The sequence below is a fragment of the Homo sapiens genome, chromosome 7, assembly GCF_000001405.40.
Source record: "Homo sapiens chromosome 7, GRCh38.p14 Primary Assembly".
NCBI lineage: Eukaryota > Metazoa > Chordata > Mammalia > Primates > Hominidae > Homo > Homo sapiens.
The window spans coordinates 135,420,690-135,443,645 of record NC_000007.14 but is presented as its reverse complement, the minus strand read 5'-3'; the positions used below and the strand labels follow the sequence as shown (position 1 = coordinate 135,443,645).

The 22,956-nt window shown below is 36.8% G+C and overlaps 1 protein-coding gene across 16 annotated transcripts in view; it reads left to right on the top strand.

The window, feature by feature from the left end:
- The window catches only part of CNOT4 (CCR4-NOT transcription complex subunit 4), a 148,308-nt gene that overhangs the window by 66,457 nt on the left and 58,895 nt on the right, over positions 1-22,956 (top strand). For 14 of the 16 annotated variants that reach the window (NM_001393375.1, NM_001393372.1, NM_013316.4 and 11 more), the window contains 2 exons: positions 5,223-5,488; positions 21,293-21,490. In NM_001393375.1, coding sequence (NP_001380304.1) covers positions 5,315-5,488; positions 21,293-21,490 — 372 coding nt within the window. In that variant the 5' untranslated portion in view covers positions 5,223-5,314. The remainder of the gene's footprint in view (positions 1-5,222; positions 5,489-21,292; positions 21,491-22,956) is intronic. The other 2 variants (NM_001393371.1, NM_001393373.1) reach the window with 2 other exon arrangements.

Sequence of the window (22,956 nt, the reverse complement as noted above, 5' to 3'; positions counted from 1 at the left end):
AAGTAATAAGGTAAAAATTTGCCATAGAGTTTAACTTTTTAAAAAGTAATGTCGTTTTATTCTTTGGGCATTTGCACTCCACTTCCAAGTATACATAGCTCCAACATCAGTAATCGTGACTTCTGTCTTACCATGTTGGAAAGGGCGTGAGTTTTGAAGTTGGGTCCTGTTTTTGAATTGTATCTTTAACACTCTAGCTTCAGTTTCATATTTTATAAAGGATATAGTGTGTTCTTACCAAGTCACTGTGAGGATTGGATCATGTATATGAAAAGGCTTTTTTTTTTTTTTGTGACAGGATCTTGCCCTGTTGCCCAGGCTGGAGTGCAGTGGTGTGATCTAGGCTCACTGAAACCTCTGCTTCCTGGACTCCAGCAATCTTCCCACCCCAGCCTCCCAAGTAGCTGGGACTACAGGCATGTGCCACCAACCCAGCTAATTTTTTTTTTTTTTTTTTGGTAGAGATAGGGTTTCGCCATGGTGCCCAGGCAGGTCTTGAACTTTTGGCCTCAAGAGATCCATCTGCCTTGGCCTCCAAAAGTGCTGGGGTTACAGGTGTGAGCCAGCGTGCCTGCAGAATTGTTGTTGAGACAGGGTTTCACTCTATCACCCAGGCTAGAGTACAGTGGCGTGAACATGGCTCACTACAGCCGCGACCTCCTTTGGTCAAGCAATCCTCCTGCCTCAGTCTCCCAAGTAGCTGGAACCACAGGCACACAACACCATACTTGGCTAATTTTAAAAATTTTTCATAGAGACAAGGTCTCCTTGTGTTGCCCAGGCTGGTCTTGAACTCCTGGCCTCAAGTAGTCCTGCTGCCTTGGCCACCCAAGGTGCTGGGATTACAGGTGTAAGCCACTGTTTATGGCTAAAAATGAATATTTTTTTTCCCTGCCAAATTAATTCTAAGGACTCCTGCACCCCACTCAGGAAATCATTGGCTTTTCTTGCCCTTTTCATTTAAAAAGATATTTCTATGTCTTGTAACATTTTAAATCTTATTATTTGAATGCATTGTTTTATTTTATTTTACTTATTTATTTTTGAAACGAAGTTTTTGCTCTTGTTGCCCAGGCTGCAGTGCAGTGGCACAATCTCGGCTCACTGCAACCTCCGCCTCCTGTGTTCAAGCAATTCTCCTTTTTCAGCCTCCCAAATAGCTGGGATTACAGGCATGCACCAACACGCTCGGCTAATTTTTTTGTATTTTTAGTAGAGACGGGGTTTCACCATGTTGGCCAGGCTGGTCTCGAACTCCTGACCTCAGGTGATCCGCCCGCCTTGGCCTCCCAAAGTGCTGGGATTTACAGGCATGAGCCACCGCGCCGCCCTGTTTAGTTTTAATTTTAATATTAGTTGTCTGGCTTATTAAGTAAAATTATTCTCTAAATGAAAATTTGGGCAAGGGTATTTTGGAGAGTCGATTTCAAAGCTTATTTTAAAAGCTTAGTTCAGAGGGGTACTATAATACATTTAGGAAATTGCTCTGTACTTGAAATTCCCTAAAAGTTTGTGTTTCTTCATTGTTCAGATGAGTACATCAAATTCTTTTGGATTTCTTATCCAAGATCATATAGTTACTTTGTGAAAGAGGTGAGTCAGTCAACTCTTTGACCTTGTATTGCAGTGTTCTACCACATCAGACTACCCTCCTCCTACCTTTTACCATTTATGAGATTACTTTTGGCAGCTGGCTTCTGTGGCTTCTCTCCATGGTGCTAGAGGTGCACAAATGTACTTACTTTTGTATTAACTATCTAAAGGATTTCTTTCTCCTTTGTCCCTTTTTTGTTCCTCTAAACCTCCCCCTAAACTGAAAGATACATACTCTTGTAAACTTTTTTAAAATTAAAAAACAGAAACAATCAAAAAGCAAAACATCAGTATATCATTTTTTATTTATGGTAATTTACCTTCTAGAAAGCTTTTCTATTCATAAGCCCCAATGTATTGCTTCCTTCCCAACATTCCATAAATTATTTCACTAAAACTCTAATAACCTGTAGTTAAAGAAATGATATCTTAGAATCAAAGGTATTAGAAGTGTAGATAGCACCATTTGATTATTTCAGTTTACTTTTCTGTTATTGGAACCGATATTTGAGTCTGTGTTTTCTACAGGTACAGTTTTGGGATGTTTAAAGTTGGGGGACCTATTAGAAGTCAGCTTTAAACTCCTAACTGTATATATGCTGAAAACTGATAGTGGCAAATCTGGGCATTTCTTTTTTTTTTTTTTAATTTTATTTTGAAATAATTATAGATTCACAAGAAGACACTATTTCGTTGTATTTTTCTTCTAATTATTAGCAAAAGTGAGAAGTAATTTAATTTTTCTAAAGGAAATGAAAACAATTTTCCTCTTTTTTTAAAGGGCCATTTGAATTGTGAAAAAATACATTTTTTTTTGCAGCATTTAGATAATATGGATTTTTCTTTAAAAAATTAGTAGTCTCCTACCTCCGTTTTGTCTTTTGTGAAATAACAACATTTTGGTGTCTAAACGTCCATGTGTTTATTTTCTTAGCGAAACAAATATATATGCATACAGGGTTTATATGTTTTAATGAAAGTAATTGTATGTTCATACTTGCTGTTCTTTAAAAAGTATAACTAGAATAGACATTCTGATCAACATACCTTATGTTATATCATATTTACTTAATGATTGTCCTATTAATGGACAGATGGACAGTATACTGTTTGCAGTTTTCTACTCTTTTTTTTTTTTTTGAGACGGAGTCTCTCTCTGTCACCAGGCTGGAGTGCAATGATCTCGGCTCGCTGCCACCTCCGCCTCCTGGGTTCAAGCAGTTCTCTTGCTTCAGCCTCCCAAGTAGCTGGGAATACAGGCATGTGCCACCACGCCCAGCTAATTTTTGTATTTTTAGTAGAGACGGGATTTCACCATGTTGGCCAGGATGTCTTGCTCTCTTGACCTCGTGATTCACCTGCCTCGGCCTCTCCAAGTGCTGGGATTATAGGCGTGAGCCACTGCACCCGGCCTGCAGTTTTCTACTCTTATATTGCTGTAGAACATAGCCAAACACTTGGCTATGTTGGTGTCACTATTTATGTAGAATAGGTTCTTAGTTAGGAGGTGGTATAAGGGAGTTGTTAAGAGCACAGCTTATCTAGGGCTAAAACTTCCTAGAAGGAATCCAGGCTATACTAATAAGTGTGTAACTTAAGGCAAAATAATGTGTTCCCATTTCCTCTTTTGAAAGAGGCGCTAGATCATTGATCCTCTCTACTTCTCTACTTTGGGTGAAAACTAACTTCTTTGACAGGCTGATGGGGTAAAAAAAAAAAAAAAGTTACCTGGCTGTTAACTAAAGATTGATCATTTTTTCATGTATTTTAATCACTTGTAATTCTTCTGTGAACTGCTTATCATTTTCTTGTCTCTTTTTTTTTTTTTTTTAACTTGTCTGTGTCTTACTGCTTTGTAGGATTTCTTTATATATTCTGGACATTAGCTTTTCATTATATGTAGCAAATGTATCTTTTACTCTGATGCTTACTTTTAATTTTATTTATGTTTTCTTCTTTCCATGTTGCTAAGTTGATTGTCTCCTTTTATGGCTTCTGAATTTTTGTTTTGCTTATGAAGACCTTCTATATCCCAAGATTTTTAAAAAAATCTGTTTTTTTTTTCTTTAACACTTCAATAATTTATTGATCACTAGATCATTTGGGATTTTTTAAAATTGCAGTATTAGATTATATACTATTTTTTATTCAAATGGATAGCCCAGTGTCCCATCACTGTTTATAAAATGGTCCAGCCTTCCCATCTTTAGTTATACATTTTAGCAAATATTAAAACCTCATAAATTCATGAGTCTGTTTCTAGATTTTTCTGATTTTGAGACAGGGTCTCTGTCACCCATGCTGGAGTGTGGTGGCACAGTTATAGCTCACTGCAGCCTTGAACTCCTGGGCTCAAGCGATGCTCCTGCTTCAAGCCTCCCAAGTAGCTGGGACTACAGTGTGCGCCACCATGCCCAGCTAATTTTAAAATTTGTTATAGACATGAGGGCTTTGCTATGTTGTGCTGGTCTTGAACTCCTGGCTGGAGCTGAACTCCTGCCCTCAAGCAGTCCTCCTGCCTTGGCCTCTCAAAGTGCTGGGATTACAGTCATGAGCTGCTGTACCCAGCTATATCTAGATTCTTTAGTTTCTTTGCTCTTTTGTCTAATTTTATACTAATAGGAAATTATTTAAATTACTGTAGCTTTATAGTATAATTTAGTATGTGACAGGGCAAATTCCCACTTTTTTCCCCAGAAGCTTCAAAATGATTCTCATGCATTTATTCTTGTATGTAACCTTTAGGATCAGTTTGTCCAATTATGTAAAAAATTACCACCGTGATTTTGGTGGGGATTACTATAGAATTATAGATTAGTTTGCAGGCTATCAGATTTTAACTTAAAGTAGTGATTTCAAGCTAACCTTTTAATCTAACAGTGGCTTTAGCCTAAGATATTACCTAAAAATTTAAAACTCCCTATAATCTAAAAAGTTATATTATTTAACTTTTCAAAAAGTGTTTGTGATATGAAGGTCTATTTCTTCCCTTCTTTCTTCCTGTTTATTATAGGCTTTTTGTAGTATTACCATAGGAATACTTTTGTTTAATACGTGTTTCTCAGAAGTTTTCATTAGCATGTTATTACATAATTAGTTGTATTGTTAAGGTCTATGGTTCTATGGCATCCGAGTTTTTCTGAGTTTTAGCCTATGTTTCTCTGTGTCAAGAGTTTGATGTTAACATGTAACTATAGATGATTGAAGTATCTTGTTTTCATTCGATTTGTTTTATAAATTGTGACAAACTTTAGAATAGTGTAATAGTCTTCTAGTTATGTGGCAATATTACTAGGTTTTAGGTCAAAGATGAGACAGTTAAGAGTGCTGTTTTACCTTATTTATTCCCCTAAAATGTGTTATGATGAGTGCTATAGGCTAGTACTAAATGTTTTATCGAGAAAAAAGGGAAGTTCTTTTTTATTTATGTTGAATCCAAAATATTAATGATGCCAGGCCTTTTGTTTTGGTATTCAAAATTTTCAGAAATCCATTCTGAAAGCCATTTCAGGTTGATAACAGTAGTTGCTCAGTCAGTATTTTTCAAATTTTTTGACAGTGTGACTCTTAATTGTTGACTGTGCCATTTTTCCAGTAGTAAACAATGTATTTTGTTTCTTCTCATGCAGGTCGTCAAAGTCCTACATTTTAGCTTTCAGTGCTGAACTTCCTTCTCCCTTAAATTATTATAAACTTTTGCTGCTGTTTAATAAACGTGAAGATGTCTCGCAGTCCTGATGCGAAGGAAGACCCTGTGGAGTGCCCTCTTTGCATGGAGCCCTTGGAGATAGATGATATCAACTTTTTCCCTTGCACCTGTGGCTACCAGATTTGCCGATTTTGTTGGCATCGAATTCGCACTGATGAAAATGGGCTTTGTCCTGCATGTAGAAAGGTAAATACTTCAAAATAACTTCACAGTGATTTGTTTTAATTGTATAGTTTTTTGCTGCCATGTATATGAGCAAGTGAATTTAAAAGACTGTGCAAACCTCACCTGATTATATTATTTTATTATGTGTATTATTTTAAGATATAAGGTGGAAAGAACACTGCACTGGGAGTCAGGGCCACGTCTTGGCTTTGTTTACTAGCTGTATGATCTTTGTAAAGTCATGTAACCTCTCTGATTGGCCTTTAGTTTGTTGTTGTTTTATCCGAGGAGAAAGACATGGTCAGGGATGCTTACTGCTTAAGGAAATTAAGAATAGAGAGGTAATGGATTTGGATAGGGTTGCATGAAATTAGAAAAACATTTTATATTACATGTGGGAGGAAATTCACCTTAATTTTCTAGTACAAAATAGGAGAGAAGATGTTTACTAAAAAGAGTTAAAATGACAGAGAAATCCTCGTTCAGAAGATAATAAATGCTCATTTCTTGAGCCCTTACAGCAATTTTAGGCTGGTATTGATATTCCCATTTTACACTCAAGGAAACAGGAGCTTAGATAACTTGTCCAGAGTCATCAACTTGTGAGTAGTAGGTAGGAGGTTTGGAATTCAAATGTCTTTTGAGTCTATAGTCTGTTCTGAACTATTGTATTATTGAAAAGCCCCTCCTGGCCGGGCGCGGTGGCTCACGCCTGTAATCCCAGCACTTTGGGAGGCTGAGGCAGGCGGATCACAAGGTCAGGAGATCGAGACCATCCTGGCTAACACAGTGAAACCCTGTCTCTACTAAAAATACAAAAAATTAGGCAGGCGTGGTGGCGAGCACCTATAGTCCCAGCTACTTGGGAGGCTGAGGCAGGAGAATGGCGTGAACCCGGAAGGCGGAGCTTGCAGTGAGCCGAGATCGTGCCACAGCACTCCAGCCTGGGCAACAGAGCGAGACTCCGTCTCAAAAAAAAGAAAAGAAAAGAAAAGAAAAGCCCCTCCTAACTCTAAAAATCTATTATTTTTAATATTCTATGGGTTTTATTGTTTTGATAAGCACCAGCGACACAATTACAGTATAGTGAATTAACTACTAGGATAGGTAGGACTGCCACATTTGTATTTTGAAGGACTTTATTTGTGACCTTAGGGATTAATGCAAATATCTGCCACTTTATTATGGAATTTGCCTTTTCTTTAATGTTTGTATAATTTAAACTTTATTTTCTAATTACCCATTTTAAAGACCTCTTGTGTTCATTACTATCAAATTTTGAGAAAGCTGAAATGTGTTTTAGATATCTAAAATTTAAAAAATAATCTGTCTCTTAGTTTTCTTACCTGAGAATTTATAATAAATCTCAGAAGGCAATGCATTGTTTATTTATCATTAGATTTTTAAAATTAATCCAGTGGATATGTATATATATTATATGAATAAAAAGTTAGGTCTATTTCAATGTTAATATAGTTTATACATTTATATAGTTACACATATATTGTATATGTAACATATATAATGTGTATATATAATTTGTATATATATAATATTTCATGTAGTTAATATAGTTTAAGAAATGTGAATGGAAAGGTAAATGAAAACCCTAACATTAGCTTTGGGAAAAATCTATATAAATTTTTGTTTATGGATTTGAACATTTAGTTATATTTTAGAAATTGGTTCCCCAGTCATTCCATAAGAAGACAATCATATTGAACTATTTCATCAGAAGTAATGACTTTCAGGATTGCCCAAGACTCTAAGGATTGTAAATTTGATTGGCTTCATGATGTTTATCTTTTTCTTTTCTTTTTTTTTTCCCTTTGGGATGTTATGAAGTCACCTTAAAAGGACCAGTTATTAAATTGTCATTACAGAAAAATAAGTTATTTGGGGAAATTACAAAGAAAGTCATTTCAATCTTAAGAGATTACCTAAAATTACTTCAAGTCCTTAGAAAGTAAAAAAAGAAAAAAAAATAGAAGATTTTAAAGGTAAAAACAGTATAACTTTAGCAAGCTTGATATGAATAAAAGGGTGTCCTGGGAATACCAGAAAGTGTGAGGAATCTCTGAAAGACAAGAAGGACATTGGAATCAATTTCAAGGAGGAAGCATTAGATCAGCTCAAGAGAAAACTGCTTAAAAAAAAAAAAGGAATGGGAGTGCTTCAGGATCCTAGGAAAAATATCAGTGTAGTTGGGTCAAGTATGGTGTCAGAGCAGCCTTATAGGCCTACCCCCTTTTTTGTGCCATGTAGCAGAGACAGATGCCCTCTAATTAAAACAGTGATTATAAGTTTGAATCAGAGCCTTAAGGTTAATGGAAACATTCTGGAGGAACTAGGAGCTTCTATACCTAGCAGATTACCTGTCCAGCAATATGTCTTTGCTACAGTCACAAAGGAGAATCTTGCAGTAAACAGAAATAGCATTTATAGGCAGATTACCAGGATTCTCACATGTAAAGGTGTGCAAAAACAAGAATTAACACAGATTTCAGGAAAACCAACATCATGAAAGAGAAGCACAAAATTCAGTAAATAGAAGATCCTAACACAGGAAACAAAACAGAAAGACATTTAAAACTATCATTGGTACCTTTCGGAAAGGAAAGAGGGAATGTCATATTCATGTAGAAAGATTATATTTCCTTATAAAAAGAACAAATTAGAGAGGTCTTGAAAAATCTTATAGATGGCCTGAAAAGCAAAATGGACACATTATAAGAGCAAATTGATAAATTGGAAGCTTGTGCTGAGTGGGTTTTTATTGAAGAATATAATGCAACAAGAGAAAAAATAGAAAGCATGAAGGAAAAGCAGCATAGATCCACAGGTTCTAATCTCTGCTGAGAGCAGTCTCAGAGGAGTGAACTAAAAATGAATAGGAAGAAATAATCAAAGAACTAATAGAAGAAAATTCCTCTTAGATTAGAAGGGCCCTGTGAGTGTGAAGCAAGGTGACTGAAAAAGATCAATGTTTGTTTATATAATTGTGAAATTTTAGAACATCTAGAATAGAGAAAACTCTAAAAGCTTGTGAGAGATAAATATTTAGAATACAACAGAACAAGACTAAAATTAATACCGGTATTTTCATTTTACAATTACAGAAAATAAACTGAGAAATTTATTTTCCCAAATTTTGAGGGAACGTAACTTTGAAAGGAGAGCTCTCAATTTTATTAATATGTAAAGGCATAATAAAACATTTTCACACATGCAAAGATTCATGAACTTTATTATTCATGAACCACCATACAAACAGAGAGTTGAGGATGACTGCAGGGTTTTGACTGAACACCTGAAAGTAAAGAATGGCCATTAACTGAAATGGGGAAGACTGCACCAGGAATAGACATTTGAGAAGATCAGAAACTCAGTTTTAGACATGTTAAGTATGAGATTCCTATTAGAAATCTAAGTGGAGATATTGAGTAGACAGGTGAATGAATGTTCATGTCTGGATTTCAGGTGAGGTTCTGGTATGGAGATACAGATTTTGGTGTCAGTTAGCATATAGTGTGTTATTTATAACATCACGAGACTGGATAAGATCATGAATTGAAAAGATGAAAGATTGTCTAAGGATAAGCACCAAAACTTTCCAACAGTTACAGAAAAAAGAAATCCAGATTACAGAGGTCTAAGACAACCTCCCTTTAGGGTCTCCAAGTTACATCTTTAGCTGAGGTGGTTATTGTTATTAGGCCAGGAATAATTTTTTGGTTTCTTGTTGACTTAATCACATCTCCTAGAACCTCTTCTTGGTCTCCTGGTCACCAGACTTTGTAGTGCAGGCAGCAGAGAGTCTTGGAGTCTGAATCCTGGCCTAGTCTTGCCAGAGAATCTGCTCAGCGCAGCGCAAGATAAATATTTGTGAAGTTGCCTGTGTCGGTCGGAGTCAAGCAAGTCTTTGGTCTCTGGAGGCCATCTACAGTGGTTGTGTTAACACAGAGGAAAACCACAATGTTGCTAGAGGCCTAGAGAGGGTCATGAAGCTGCCATTTACATGTAACCCAACCCTGCAGGCACAGGGTCTACAGAGGCCATGCTGTGAGGTGGCATATTGAGATGATCTGAAGAAACTTGGGAGATGCAAGTAGGGAGCTAGTTGAATCAAGCTCCTGTTCTCAGTCTACAATATGAAACGTGCCTGTTTTGCAGAAAGTTTCTCTTAGCTTTAATATCTTTGAAAAGCAGAGACAGCCAGATTTTAAAAACCAAGAGAGTTTAGTGTTCCCGTTTGGTCCTAGCTGCTAAACACAGGCACAGGCTACTTGGTTTTTTCTTAGACTGCTTTCATGTGTCCTTTTAGTGCAGCATTTCTGAGAAAGCTACTAGTGGAAACAGCAGATATGGGAACATAGGTGGTGCACTGATGTGGCATTCTGTATTGATTCCCATGGAAACCAGAGACTATACAAGGAAATGAGAACTTCAACAGAAGTATTATTATTTTTATTTCAGAAATAATAGAAGATAATGTATCTATGAAACAAAAACAGGATGGTGGTTTGGACATGGTGGCTCATGCTTGTAATCCCAACATTTTGGGAGGCTGAGGTGGGAGGATTGTTTGAGGTTAGGAGTTTGAGACCAGCCTGGGTAACATGGCGAGGCCTCATCTCTAATAACAATAAGAAAAATTAGCTGAGTGTGGTGGCACATGCTTGTAGTCCCAGCTACTCGGGAGGCTAAGGTGGGAGGATCGCTTGAACCCAGGAGGTTGAAGCTACAGTGAGCCATGTTCATGCCACTGCACTCCAGCCTGGGTGATAGAGCAAGATACTACCTCAAGAAAAAAAAAAAAAAAAAAAAAGAACAGGATGATATAAAGAAGAATATTCAGTGAACAGTAACCATTGTCATTGAAAATTAAAATATAATAGCAAAAATAACTGAAGGAAAGCATTGGAAGATGAAGTTGAGAAGATCTTTTAGTGAAACAAAAAGCAAAAGAGATGAAATATTTGGGAGAAGAGATTAAGTTCATCTGAGGATCAATCAAGGACGTCAAATACCAAACAATTAAGTGCTCTAGGAAGAGATCAGTACTCTAGGACGAGATCACAGTGATACAGAGGGGAAGTAATCATCCAAGAATATGATCGAAGAATATTTCCCAGAACCAAAGAACACATTTTCAGATTGAAAGGGCCTATCAAGTGTCCAGCACAAACTTTTTTATTTGGAAATACCAGAATACCAAAGACAAAGAAGTTCTACAAGCTTCCACAGAGGAAAATAGCAGATCGCATGTAAAAGACAAGGAATCCGAATCGTTTCAGATTTCTCAATAGCAAGACTTCAAGCTAGAAGATACTTCTGAAGGAAATTAATTTTCATCTTCGGATTCCGTATCTGCTCAACTGTTAAGTGTGACGGTACACTAAAAGACATTTTCAGACCTGAGAGGCCTCAAAATTTTTTTACCTTCCATGCATTCTCTCCCAGGAATCTATTGGAGGATGTGCCCCACCAACATGAAGGAATAAAGAACAGAGAATCATGGGATAAAGGAAACAGGAGATCCAACACAGGAGAGAAGCCCCTGGGGAAAGGATGACAGCTGTGCCCAAGGTAAAGAGGGCAACCAGTCCAAAATGCAACACATCAGAGAACTGCAAGAGGGATTTGTAGAAAAAGATAAAATTAAAAGAATACTTGGTGTTCTAAAAGAGAAATGTCTTGTGAGACCATTTTGCCAGTTTGAAGAGATTTGATGGTTGAATTAGTAATGAACACCTAAAAATATAATCAGACAAAACAGATTAACTCTAGGGGAAACAAAAAGTTGTAGAGAAATGAAAAAGCAATCATATTATGCTGCAGTGGCTCACATGTGAGGTAGGGGTCATGATATATTTTTTTTTCCTATGCTGATATTCTTGTTGCAGCATCGTTTGCAGAAAAGACTGTCCTTTCACTCTTGATTGGTTTTGAAATCTTTCCTGAAAGTCAATTGCCCATAAATGTATAAATCCAATACTAGCATCTGTATTCTGTCCATTGATGATTATATCTATCCATATGCTCATACCATACTGTCTTTATTATTGTAAGTTTTGAAACCTGGCGTGACAAGGTTTTCAACTTTGTTATTCTTTTTAGAATTTATTTTGGGTATTCTAAGTATTTAGCATTTGCACATAAATTTTTGAATCAGTTTGTGAGTTTCAACAAAAAGCCTACTGGGATTTTGATGGAGATTACCTTAACTCTACAGTTAGATCATTTTGAGGAAAAATGACATCTTAAAAATGTTGACTCCTTTAGTTCATGAATAAGGTATATCTTTACATGTTTTAAAATTTCTTTAGCAATGTTTTATAGTTTTCAGTATACATAATAGTACAGCATGTTTGTTATATTATCCATATTTTATGTTTTTGAGCTATGGCCCATGATATGTTTCTTTTTTTTTTTGAGATGGAGTTTCACTCATGTCACCCAGGCTGGAGTGCAGTGGTGTGATCTCGGCTCACTGCATCCTCCACCTGCCGGGTTCAAGTGATTCTCCTGCCTCAGCCTCTGGAGTAGCTGGGACTACAGGCGTGTGCCACCACACCTGGCTAATTTTTTGTATTTTTAGTAGAGACAGGGTTTCACCATGTTAGCCAGGATGGTCTCAATCTCCTGACCTCGTGATCCACCCGCCTTGGCCTCCCAAAGTGTCAGGATTACAAGCGTGAGCCACCGCACCCAGCCCGATATTGTTTCTGAAATTTCACTTTCCAGTTGTTTATTGCTAATGTACCACTTTTGAATGTTGACCATCTATATCAAGAAGCCTTGTTAATTAAATAGGTTCCTTAGAATTTTCTACATAGGTGATTATGTGTTCTATGCAAAAAGACAGTTTTACTCTTTCCTTTCCAATCTCTGCTTTTTAAAATTTTTTTAGAGACAAGGTCTTGCTCTTTCGCCCAGGCTATGAAGTGCAGTGGCACAAATATGGCTCACTGCAGTCTAGAACTCCTGGGCTCAAGCAGTACTTCTGTCTCAGCCTTCCCAATAGGTGGGACTATAGGCATGTGCCACCATGCCCAACTAATTGTTTAAAAAATTTTTTTGTAAAGGTCTCGCTGTGTTGCCCAGGCTGGTCTTGAACTCCTGGCCTCAAGCATCCTTCCACCTCAGTCCCCTCCAAAATGCTGGGATTATAGGCATGAGTCACTGCACCTGGCTCTGTGTTTTTAAATTCTTTTTCTTGCCTTAATTCTACTGGGTAACTCCTCTAGTGTTTAATATTAAAAAGAAGTGATAAGAAAGATATCTTTGTTCCCAATCTTAGCAGGAAGGCATTAAGTATTACATCATTAAGTATGTTGCTGTGTGTGCATTTTTTGGTCTGGTCTTTATCAGGTCAAGGAAGTTTTCCTTTATTCCTAATTTGCTGAGAGATTTTATCATGAATGGTGTTGAATTTTGCCAAATACCTTTTTTGATACTATTGAGATGGTTATACTTTTTTCTCCTTTTATTCTGTTGAAACAGTAATTTATGTTTTTTGGTTTTTTTTAAAGCGATAGGGTCTTGGTCTCTCGCCCAGGGTGGAGTACAGTGGCCTCATTGTAGCTCACTGCAGCTTCAACCTCCTGGGCTCAAGCAATTCTCCTGCTTCAGCCTACCAAGTAGCTGGGACTACAGGTGTGCACCACCACACCTGAATAATTAAAAAAAATTTTTTGTCTTTGCAGAGACTGGGCTCGCTATGTTGCCCAGGTTGGTCTTGAACTACTGCCCTCAGGTGTTCCTCCTGCCTCAGCCTCCTAAAGTGCTGGGATTATAGGCACGAACCACTACGTCTGGCCTATGTTAATTTTTAAATCACCTTTTCTTCTCAAAGATAAACCCCACTTGATTATAATGTATTACCCTTTTTATATTCAGTTTGCTAATATTTTCAGAAGATTTTTTTGTCTGTGTCATAAAGGGTATTTCTTTGTAGTTTTATATTGTTTTCAGTTTTGGTATCAAAGGAATACTGTCCACATAAAATGAGTTGGGAAATGTTTCCTCATCTTCTGCCTTCTGAAAGAGTTTGCGTGTCATTGGTATTCTTTTTTTATTTCTTTTCTAAATTCATGATTGGCATGGACTCTACTAGGTATCTTCGTTGGAAAGACACCTATGAAAACTAGCTATCACAATATTCCTGTATGTAGACCTCTGGGATTCTTTTTGGACTAACTCCATCTTTGTGGTATTTTGCCCCCATAAATTTCAGTTGTCTCAGCCTCTTCTAATTTTTATCACTGTCTGTCCCCTCCATTCATTATGACTCTTGAACCCAGTACCAGGATCTGGTAAGTACTGGAAGAGCAGAAAGCTGGGGTAGTTATGGTATTCATCGGTCTTATTTCTTTTTTCTCAGAGATCACAGTCCTGCTGTTCATTGCCTGTTTCTTCAGTGTCTGAAAATAGTTATTTCCTGTATTTTGTCTAGTTCTGCAGTTGTTTATGATGATAGGGCTTGTCTGTTACTTTCATGGCTGGAAGTGGAAGAGTGTAAATAACATTTGCATTTTATAATAATGTAATCCTGAATATTGCCCTAACCAAAGTTATGGTAGAAATTAGAAAGTGGACTCGGGATGTTTGATGAGGGGAACTGACAGGGCTAAATCTTCAAGTTGCATAATGTGATGATATCTAAAACTGAGAAATCAAGAAGTAGCAATATGGATGTATTATTTAGAGATATGGTAGTAAATGACAAAGAATCATCTAAAAGAGTCAACATGATTATTTCTAGGAAGAGGCAACTGGTTGTAGAGGAGGAGGGAAAATGGGGGACTGCTCTTTTTCCTAACAAAACTTGTAGAACCAATTGACTAGAAGCATATTCAAGAAAAATATCAATGAAAGGAGGGAAAAATGATACAGTGGGCAAATGGAAATCATAGGAAAGAAGATATAATAGTACTGATATTAGTCATAATGAAATTCAAGATCAAACACATTTTAAAAGGGCAAAAGTTCCACAAAGTCATGAATCTTTACTTAACAGTACAACTTTGAAGTATATTGAGCCATTATAAACACCAGGAGAAACTGACATCCGTATTTATAATGGAGAGACTTCCCCTTCTGTATTTTAGAAATAGATGAAGTAGACAATGAAAAGAAAATGGGGAATTTGAATAACAGAATTAGCAAGATGTGTGTGTGTATGTGTGTGTGTATAACTTTGTACAGATAAATTTGTCACAATGTTAAATACAAGAGCAGTGGTCAAAAAACAGGCCACAATGGAAAAATTAGCCAATTCCAAAAAGTAAATCTCCCTTGTGTATTTTAAAAATTTATCCTCCTTGGGAGACTTTTTAAATCTGTGGGCTGGTGAATTTCCTTAGTTCAAGATAAAAATTAAGCTATTATCTCTTCAGATACAACCTTTTTTCTCTTTCTTCTCCTCTGTGACTCTGATTAAATATTTTTCAGATTTTTTTTCACTGTCTTCTATGTCTCTTAATCTCTTTTCTGTATGTTCTTTCTCCTTCATACCTTAGTAAATGATTTATTCTGACCTGTCCTCATGTGCGAATAGTTTGTTTTGTATCCAATCTGCCACTAAATATGTCTGTTGAGTTTTTAACTATTGGTTTTGTGTTTTCCATACCTAGAAGTAATGTTTGCTCTTTTTTTTCTCTTGCTGTTATTTTAAAATAGATTATTATACCCTGTAGGTATTTTCAAGGTTATATATTTTTTAAACAGATAAGCATTATTTTTTAAAAACATCTTTGTCCAGTAATTCCAGTGGCTGAAGTCTGTGGGCTATATTTCTGCTTATTGTTGCTCATGTTGTTGTATTTCTTTGTGTTTGGTTAATGTGGCTGCTTCCTTGTTATTGTCATTGAGAAAATTATTTGTAAGGTTCCCCAAGGACTAGTGTGGATTTGCTCCTCTCTAGAGAGGCTTCAATTTGGCTTCTGCTGGGTCCTGTAAGCATTGGCATTAGGGCTGCCATGTGCTTAAAGGTTTTTGGTCTAGCCAAGCAATATATCTCCATGCTGCAACTCTTCCCTAGGGTTGATTTCAACAATTTCTCCAGGATGGTTTTCCCCTACCTACTTTTTCTTTTTTCTTACCTTAGTCTGACCTTTCTGTAGTTTGTTCTTACCCTGAGACTATCCTCTGGTTTGTAATTTGTTCTTATCCTGAGCCCACCGTTTGGAGGTGGGCTGTATCTCAGCTTATCATGGAACCTATCTTGCCAAAGACTACCATGAGCTGGTGTTGGGCTTTGAATGTTCTTTCTCCTTAGCTCTTTCTCTCCCTACCCCATTTATTGTTAATCAGATTTTCTGTTTAGGCTCTGAATTTTTACTTTCAACCAAAAACTGGCTTGGGATTTTTCCAGTATAGATTTTTAGGATGTTAGTAAGAAGAAAAAAAAAATTTTTATGTTGTATTTTTCATGGTTTTTAGTAAAAGGGTTAATTAGCTCTCCATTACTGGAAACTAGAACCCTAAAAAAATAGTATAATCAAATTAGATGTTAACAGCAAAAGGATTTTTTAAAAGTTCATTTACCTGTAATACATAAATTATGGTCTTCCATAACTCTTGGTTTAAAGAGATCAAAAAGAAAATTACAAATTATTCTGAATCAATACTTGGAACATGATTTCTGAATATCTGGCATGAGGCCCAAGTGGTATGCAGCAGAAAAGCTAAAGCTGTGAATACATTTATTAGAAAACAACAAAAATTAGAAAAAGAATGAGTACTATGACAGTGGAAGGGATCAGAAAAAGAAATCAGAAAAAGAATAAGCCCTGGGACAGTGGAAGGGAGTGAGTAAGCAGAATTTTGTGAAATAGGAAAAAAAAAAGTTTTTCAATAAAGATTAGAGCTGGTTCTCTGAAAAGACCAATAAAATAATTAAAGTCTTAGCAAGTTTAATAAAAAGTAAAGAGAAGACACATGTAAATAGCATTTGGAATAAAAGTGGAAACATAACTACACATATGGAAGAAATTAAGTAATTACACTAGAAACTGCAAACCATGTTAACTAGTAATTTGGCAGTTTATAACTATTAAAAATAGTGTTATATCTAAATACTTCTCCATAGGCAACCTATTTTGCATTAGTTTGATATGTAATGCACAATAGTATGTTTAAAGAGAAATTTTCTGCTTGTAACTTTTCATTTGATGCTATATTCCTAGAAATTTAACATGTGTTTTAGTCAAAAAGTTGATCAGATATATTTTTCCTTTTTTTTTTTTTTTGAGATGGAGTTTCATTCTTGTTCCCCAGGCTGGAGTACAGTGGCGTGATCTCCACTCACTGCAACCTCCATCTCCCGGGTTCAAGCGATTCTCCTGCCTCAGCCTCCTGAGTAGCTGGGATTACAGGCACCTGCCATCACGCCTGGCTCATTTTTGTATTTTTAGTAGAAACAGGGTTTCACCATGTTGGCCAGGCTGGTCTCAAACTCCTGACCTCAGGTGATCCACACGTCTCGGCCTCCCAAAGTACTGGGATTACAGGCATGAGCCACTGCACCCAGCCTGTATTTTTCTTTCTTTCTTTCTTTTTTTTTTTTTTTTGAGACGGAGTCTTGCTCTGTCACCCAGGCTGGAGTGCAGTGGCACGATCTCGGCTCACTGCAAGTTCTGCCTCCTGGGTTCACGCCATTCTCCTGCTCCAGCCTTCTGAGTAGCTGGGACTACAGGTGCCCACCACCACACCCGGCTAATTTTTTTTTATTTTTAGTAGAGATGGGGTTTCACCGTGTTAGCCAGGATGGTCTCGATTTCCTGACCTTGTGGTCCGCCCGCCTTGGCCTCCCAAAGTGCTGGGATTACAGGCGTGAGCCACCGTGCCCAGCCTTTGTATTTTTCTTTATATCCATTTTTAGTGCTAGTAATATTAGCTTTGTGAGTCTCACTGTCTGCAGTTATTCGTGTTTGGTTTCTTCATTTCCCCCCGCTTTTTTGAAATAGGGTCTTGCCTTGTCACCCAAGCTGGAGCACAGTGATGCCATTGTAGTTCATTGCAGCCTCGAACTCCTGTGCTCAAGCATCCCTCCTGCCTCAGCCTCCCAAGTAGCTGTGACTGTAGGTGCACACCACCATGCCTGGATAATTTTTTTTTATTTTTTGTAGAGATGGGGGTCTCACTGTGTTGCTCAGGCTGTCTTGCAATCCTCCTACCTCACCCTCCCTAAGTGCTGGAATTACAGGTGTGAGCCACCGCACCCAGCCCTCCCATCTTTATAGTCTACCTCTCATCCTTATTTTATTGTATTAGTTTATTGATATTCTGACCTTGGGTTTGTGCAGTAGGTATATATGGTGGTGTGTGTAGTGAAGGAATTGTAATGGAGGAGGAACTTTTTTGGAATACATGCTTTTCCAATGTTTTAATAAAACTTTTGGACAAGTTGAAGTTAATAAACCTTTTGATTATGCATTTGCTATTTGTGGTTAGCATATTTTATATTTTTCAGGTGTTAAGATTAAACAACTAGTATTTATAACTTCTTTTAAGGTACTGGAATAAGATATATTTGGAGGGTAAATTGTAGTAGAATACTCTGTCTCATGTTCTTCTGTGTTTGTATCTTTTGTATTATGTAGCAGTTATGTTCCAACAACGTTGACTTTGAAGCCTGATGGAAATATATTTCCATAGGAACAAAACTTGGAATAACATAGCAAAAAGACTAAGAGAACAATATAACTCAGTGTTATATGCTTAACATGATGGTGCATCAGTAATATACTTGATAAGAGTTGATATTGCAACCTGATTTTTCTTACTTGTCACTCTCCCTCAATTTTTTTGTGTTCATGTATTTTCAAATATTACATGACTTTGCCTCATGTGTAATCAGTATTTTATACAACCTCATAGAATACTAACAAAGGAAACAGCTTGAGGGTGTTTGTCACATTCTGCCAGTTCTCAGAAAAATCTAAGTCCCAGAAAAGTTACATCATTGCTTCTTACGCCTTCTGTGATGAAGAACCAGATTTTTTCTTTTCTTTCTTTTCCCCTGTCTGTTGAGGACTGATATAGAGTGCTATTATGCATGGCTAATATTTTGCTTGTGTCATATGTTCGACTACATTGAAAAATATCTTATTCTGCAGAGTCCACTGGTGATGGACCTGAATGTTGGGGTAGTGTCAGTTGCTCTGAGAGTTTCTGAACGCTTATCTCAGTTTTTGTACTTTCCTTGTTATGGACTGGTAAAAGGCAGTGCGTCAACTATACTTTGAAACAAAACTAGGAGCAATCCATGTGTTTGATCCATTCAGGCAGTGGAGCATCGGTGTTTTAGATGTCAGTGAAGAGCAACAGCTTTCAAATGAACTTGTTTGTTTTTTTTTGTTTGTTTGTTTGTTTGTTTGTTTTTGAGAAGGAGTCTGGCTCTGTCGCCCAGGCTGGAGTGCAGTGGCACAATCTCAGCTCACTGCAACCTCTGCCTCCCAGGTTCAAGCAGTTCTCCTGCCTCAGCCTCCCAAGTAGCTGGGATTACAGGCTCATGCTACCACACCCGGCTAGTTTTTAAAAATATTTTTGGTAGAGACATGGTTTTACCATGTTGGCCAGGCTGGTCTTGAACTCCTGACCTCGAGTGATCTACCCACCTCAGCCTCCCAAAGTGCTGGAATTACAGGCGTGAGCCACCGCGCCTGGCCTCAAATGAACTTAATTGTAAACACTTCAGAAGGAACTACCCCAGGAATTCTGGGGTAGAAAACAGCTTTTCTAGGTGCAAATGAAAAATTTAAGTTATCTTATAGAAAAGTGTTTTAATTAGTTAATATATAGTTCACTTTTATATCTTTTTACATTTGTGCCTTTAGAGCTCCAAATAGCTTCAAGGGATTAAAATCATCCAGGCAGATAGATTAAGATTTGAAGGAGATAATTAATGTAGGTACAGAAAAGTAAGTGGAGAAGGAAGTTTTGAGAGGAAGGCATTAAGAAAAAACTTAAATGTGGATGACTACGTAATTGATTGAGGAACTGAACTTACCTTAATAGATCTTTAACTGTTTGGTTCCTTAAATTAAAATGCAAGAAATAATTTATGTTTTAATAAAAAATGTGTGTGTGTGTGTGTGTGTGTGTGTGTGTGTGTGTGTGTGTGTGTGTGTTTTGTTTGTTTGTTTGTTTTGGTGGCTTTTAAAACACAGAAATGCTGAGTTTTCAATTCTGGAGAGTAGCTTTTGATGTTTGCTTGGCAAATATTTATTGAGCTTCTGAAATCATACTAAATTTATATTTGATCCTGGAGAAAGTCCTAAAATCATACCAAAATCAGGTAAATTACTAAGCAAGCTGCTTTGTATGCCTTCCACTCACAAATAAGTTGGAGTATGCCAAATAGGATCCACTAACTCAAAGATCCAGATTCTTAATGTGGGAATCAAGTGGTATGGGTGTTTACATCCTACCAAACTGTTAAGGATTAAGCCTGAATCTTTTTTGGGTCACCAGCTCTAATTCATTGATAACAAGGTAAACTATGAAGAGTATTAAGTTTCCTTAAAAAGCAGTAAGTTAAAATTGAAAGTGGGAATAAAAGGGAAAGAATAGGGTTCTTGGAGACCTCAGGGTATATACTAGTAAAAGTTGTGAAATATAAGGTGAAATCTCACTTTCTTAATTGCCGTCAGCGTTACTCTGGGTATGTTCACAAATTTGAGAGGTTTTTTTTTTTTTTAACGCTTATATATGAAGAGATGGAGGTTAACTTTACTTTAAAGTCATAGCAAAATTTCAGGCCTGTAGCTATTTCTTCCACCCTTCCTTGTTTCCACCTTTTTTTTTTTTTGGTTTGGCATTATTTCTGTTGTTCCCCACTCTTGTATTCTGATAGGTGCCAATTTCCCTACCAGTTGAGTTTCCATCCCTGGAATCTCTTCCTATCCAGTTTAAAATATTATGGCATTTAATGTGCCCCTATGTTGGTGTTGTGTGTGCACGGGTCTTGGGGGAGGGAAGAAAAGAAAAAATAATGTGCCGCATCTTCCATTTATCATTAACTATTTGTTTTTAGTAGTAATAATTGACTTTTGAATACTTATATGTAGGACACAGTGTTAATCACTTTATAGGTGAATAAATAAAGTACTGTAGTTTCCATTTTACAGATGAGACGACTGAGGTAGAAAGGTCATATGACTTTACCAAAGTCACTTAGATAGTAATGGCTGAGCTAGGATGCAGTGCCAGCATTCTGTCTCCAGAGCCCTCATTTGGTAGCCCTGGCATTAGTAGTAGGAATGAAAATGGTATCAAAATGCTAAGAAAGAAAAGATCACACAACAGTGTGATTGCTAGTATTATACTGAGAGATTACTATGTTCCAGGCACAGTAATAATTGCTTTAAGAACAAATGTGTAACTTCATTAATCTCCTAGCACATAGTAGGTTTTCATTAAATATTTGTTAATTATAATGTGTAAAACCCACATTTAGATGCAAGAACTTACACTCCTTGCCTCTTACATAGCACCTTAGAGGCTTAATCTTCCCATAAACTCTGTTGGACACTGCAGGGAATATCAAGATTGGTTTGTTGTTGTTTTGCCTTTAAACCGTAGATGTTTTAGCACTAAAAGTGGTCTGTGCTAAGCTCCAAAAAATTTTTTATTAGAACTATTTTATTTAACATTTGTCTTTTATTAAATAAAAAAATTTTTTAAGCAGTTAAAACATTCTAATAAAGGGAGAATGTAACAGATAACCACATACCCACCACCAAGAATCAGATAATTACTTACGCAGTTTTTTTAATTAATTTAATGCTAACGTCTATGTTTGTTTCATGCTTAAAGCCATATCCAGAAGACCCAGCAGTTTATAAACCACTCTCCCAGGAAGAGCTGCAAAGGATAAAGAATGAGAAAAAACAGAAACAAAATGAGAGAAAACAGAAAATATCAGAAAATCGCAAACATTTGGCTAGTGTACGTGTCGTACAAAAAAACCTCGTCTTTGTTGTAGGTTTATCTCAGCGCCTAGCAGACCCAGAGGTAAGTCCTCTTGTTTTCTTTGTCATCTTGATATTTTTTGTTTCCTTGTCTTACTTGGAAATAATATTTGACCCTGCTCAATTGTGTGATTCCTCTGAACACATTATATCTTGAAGGAGAAAATAAGAAATTACTTTTGAATAATTGCTAAGAAACCAATGACCAGTCGTGATCTTAGGCAAGTGTCTTAATCTTTCTTGGCTTCAATTTCTTCAGTTCTAAAACTAAGGAGTTGAACTAGATTTCTAACGTGCTGACAATCTGTGAAAATTGGATAATGATTCTATTTTGCTGTTAAGGCTAACATGTGATATGAATACTCTGTTTCTTTTCTCTTTTCTGTGTCTGTATAAGAACCAACAGTGGAGGTGCAGTTGTTTGAACTCACTAGAGATTTTAGTAACCTAGATTTTAAAAATTCTGCCCAAGTAGTAATTCTTGATTTTTCAGAACTATTACTATACTGTCTCATCATTCTTATTCATTTTAAGCCAGTTTGGAGGAAGAGGGAGAATTTGGTAATGTGAAATAAAGGACCCAATTTCTTTGTCATTCATTCGGGGGAGGAGAGAGCTTAACCTTGTTTCTTAGTACCTCTTTTTTCTCTTCTTCCACCAAAAGCCTTGTTAGAGTAATGTCGAACTCATACTTTCCTTGAGGCCCTTGGATATGCATCTGGTAATTTTTAGTTTCTGATATACCATGAGATACTGACTAGATTGTTGAGAAGGCAAATATAAGCTGATCGACAGGCAGAGTGTTTACTTGGTAGGAGAGAGCTGGTTTTGGGGGATCTTCCAAAAGATCCTTGAGAAGAATTTAAAGTAATACTTGGCATGGTACCAATCAGAGGAAAGATTGTAGTGAACATGCTTAAGGAGATAGGAACCTTGGGAATTGGCTGAGCGTGTTAAAGGCCCCAGAAGGAGGATCTTTAAGGAGTCTAATGTCTGTTTTTGTAAAAATTAATTTAAAAAATAGTTAATCTTTATTGATGATGTGTTTATATGTGTTGCAACTATACAGGGCTTCAAAATCAATACGAAATGATTTTGACCCCGCGAAAGTCAGGGACATTAGTAAGAAGGATCTGTCATGGATGATAAACATGGAGGCAACTCAAGAGTTACTATGACCTAGGTCCAGGGATGCTGGCAGTCGTTAGTTACATGATACTCAGGACATCAAGTTCTTTCCAAATCCAAAGGAGTGGTCTAGAGTTGATATAGAAAAAGACTTCTTTAGTAAGAAATGTTCAGCAAAGAGCTCATTTTAGGTGTATGACTCACCTTCTGTAGCCAGTTCTCCCTCTTTTTTTTTTAAGCTAGTGGTTATTCCCCAGACAGAGAGAATCCTGCCTCACCTTTGATCGTTTCCTTGAACAACATCTCAACTTTGCACTAATCCTTTTATCTCCATCTTTTAACTCTATTAAATAGAGTTAAAAAGGTGTGAGCTACCTTTTT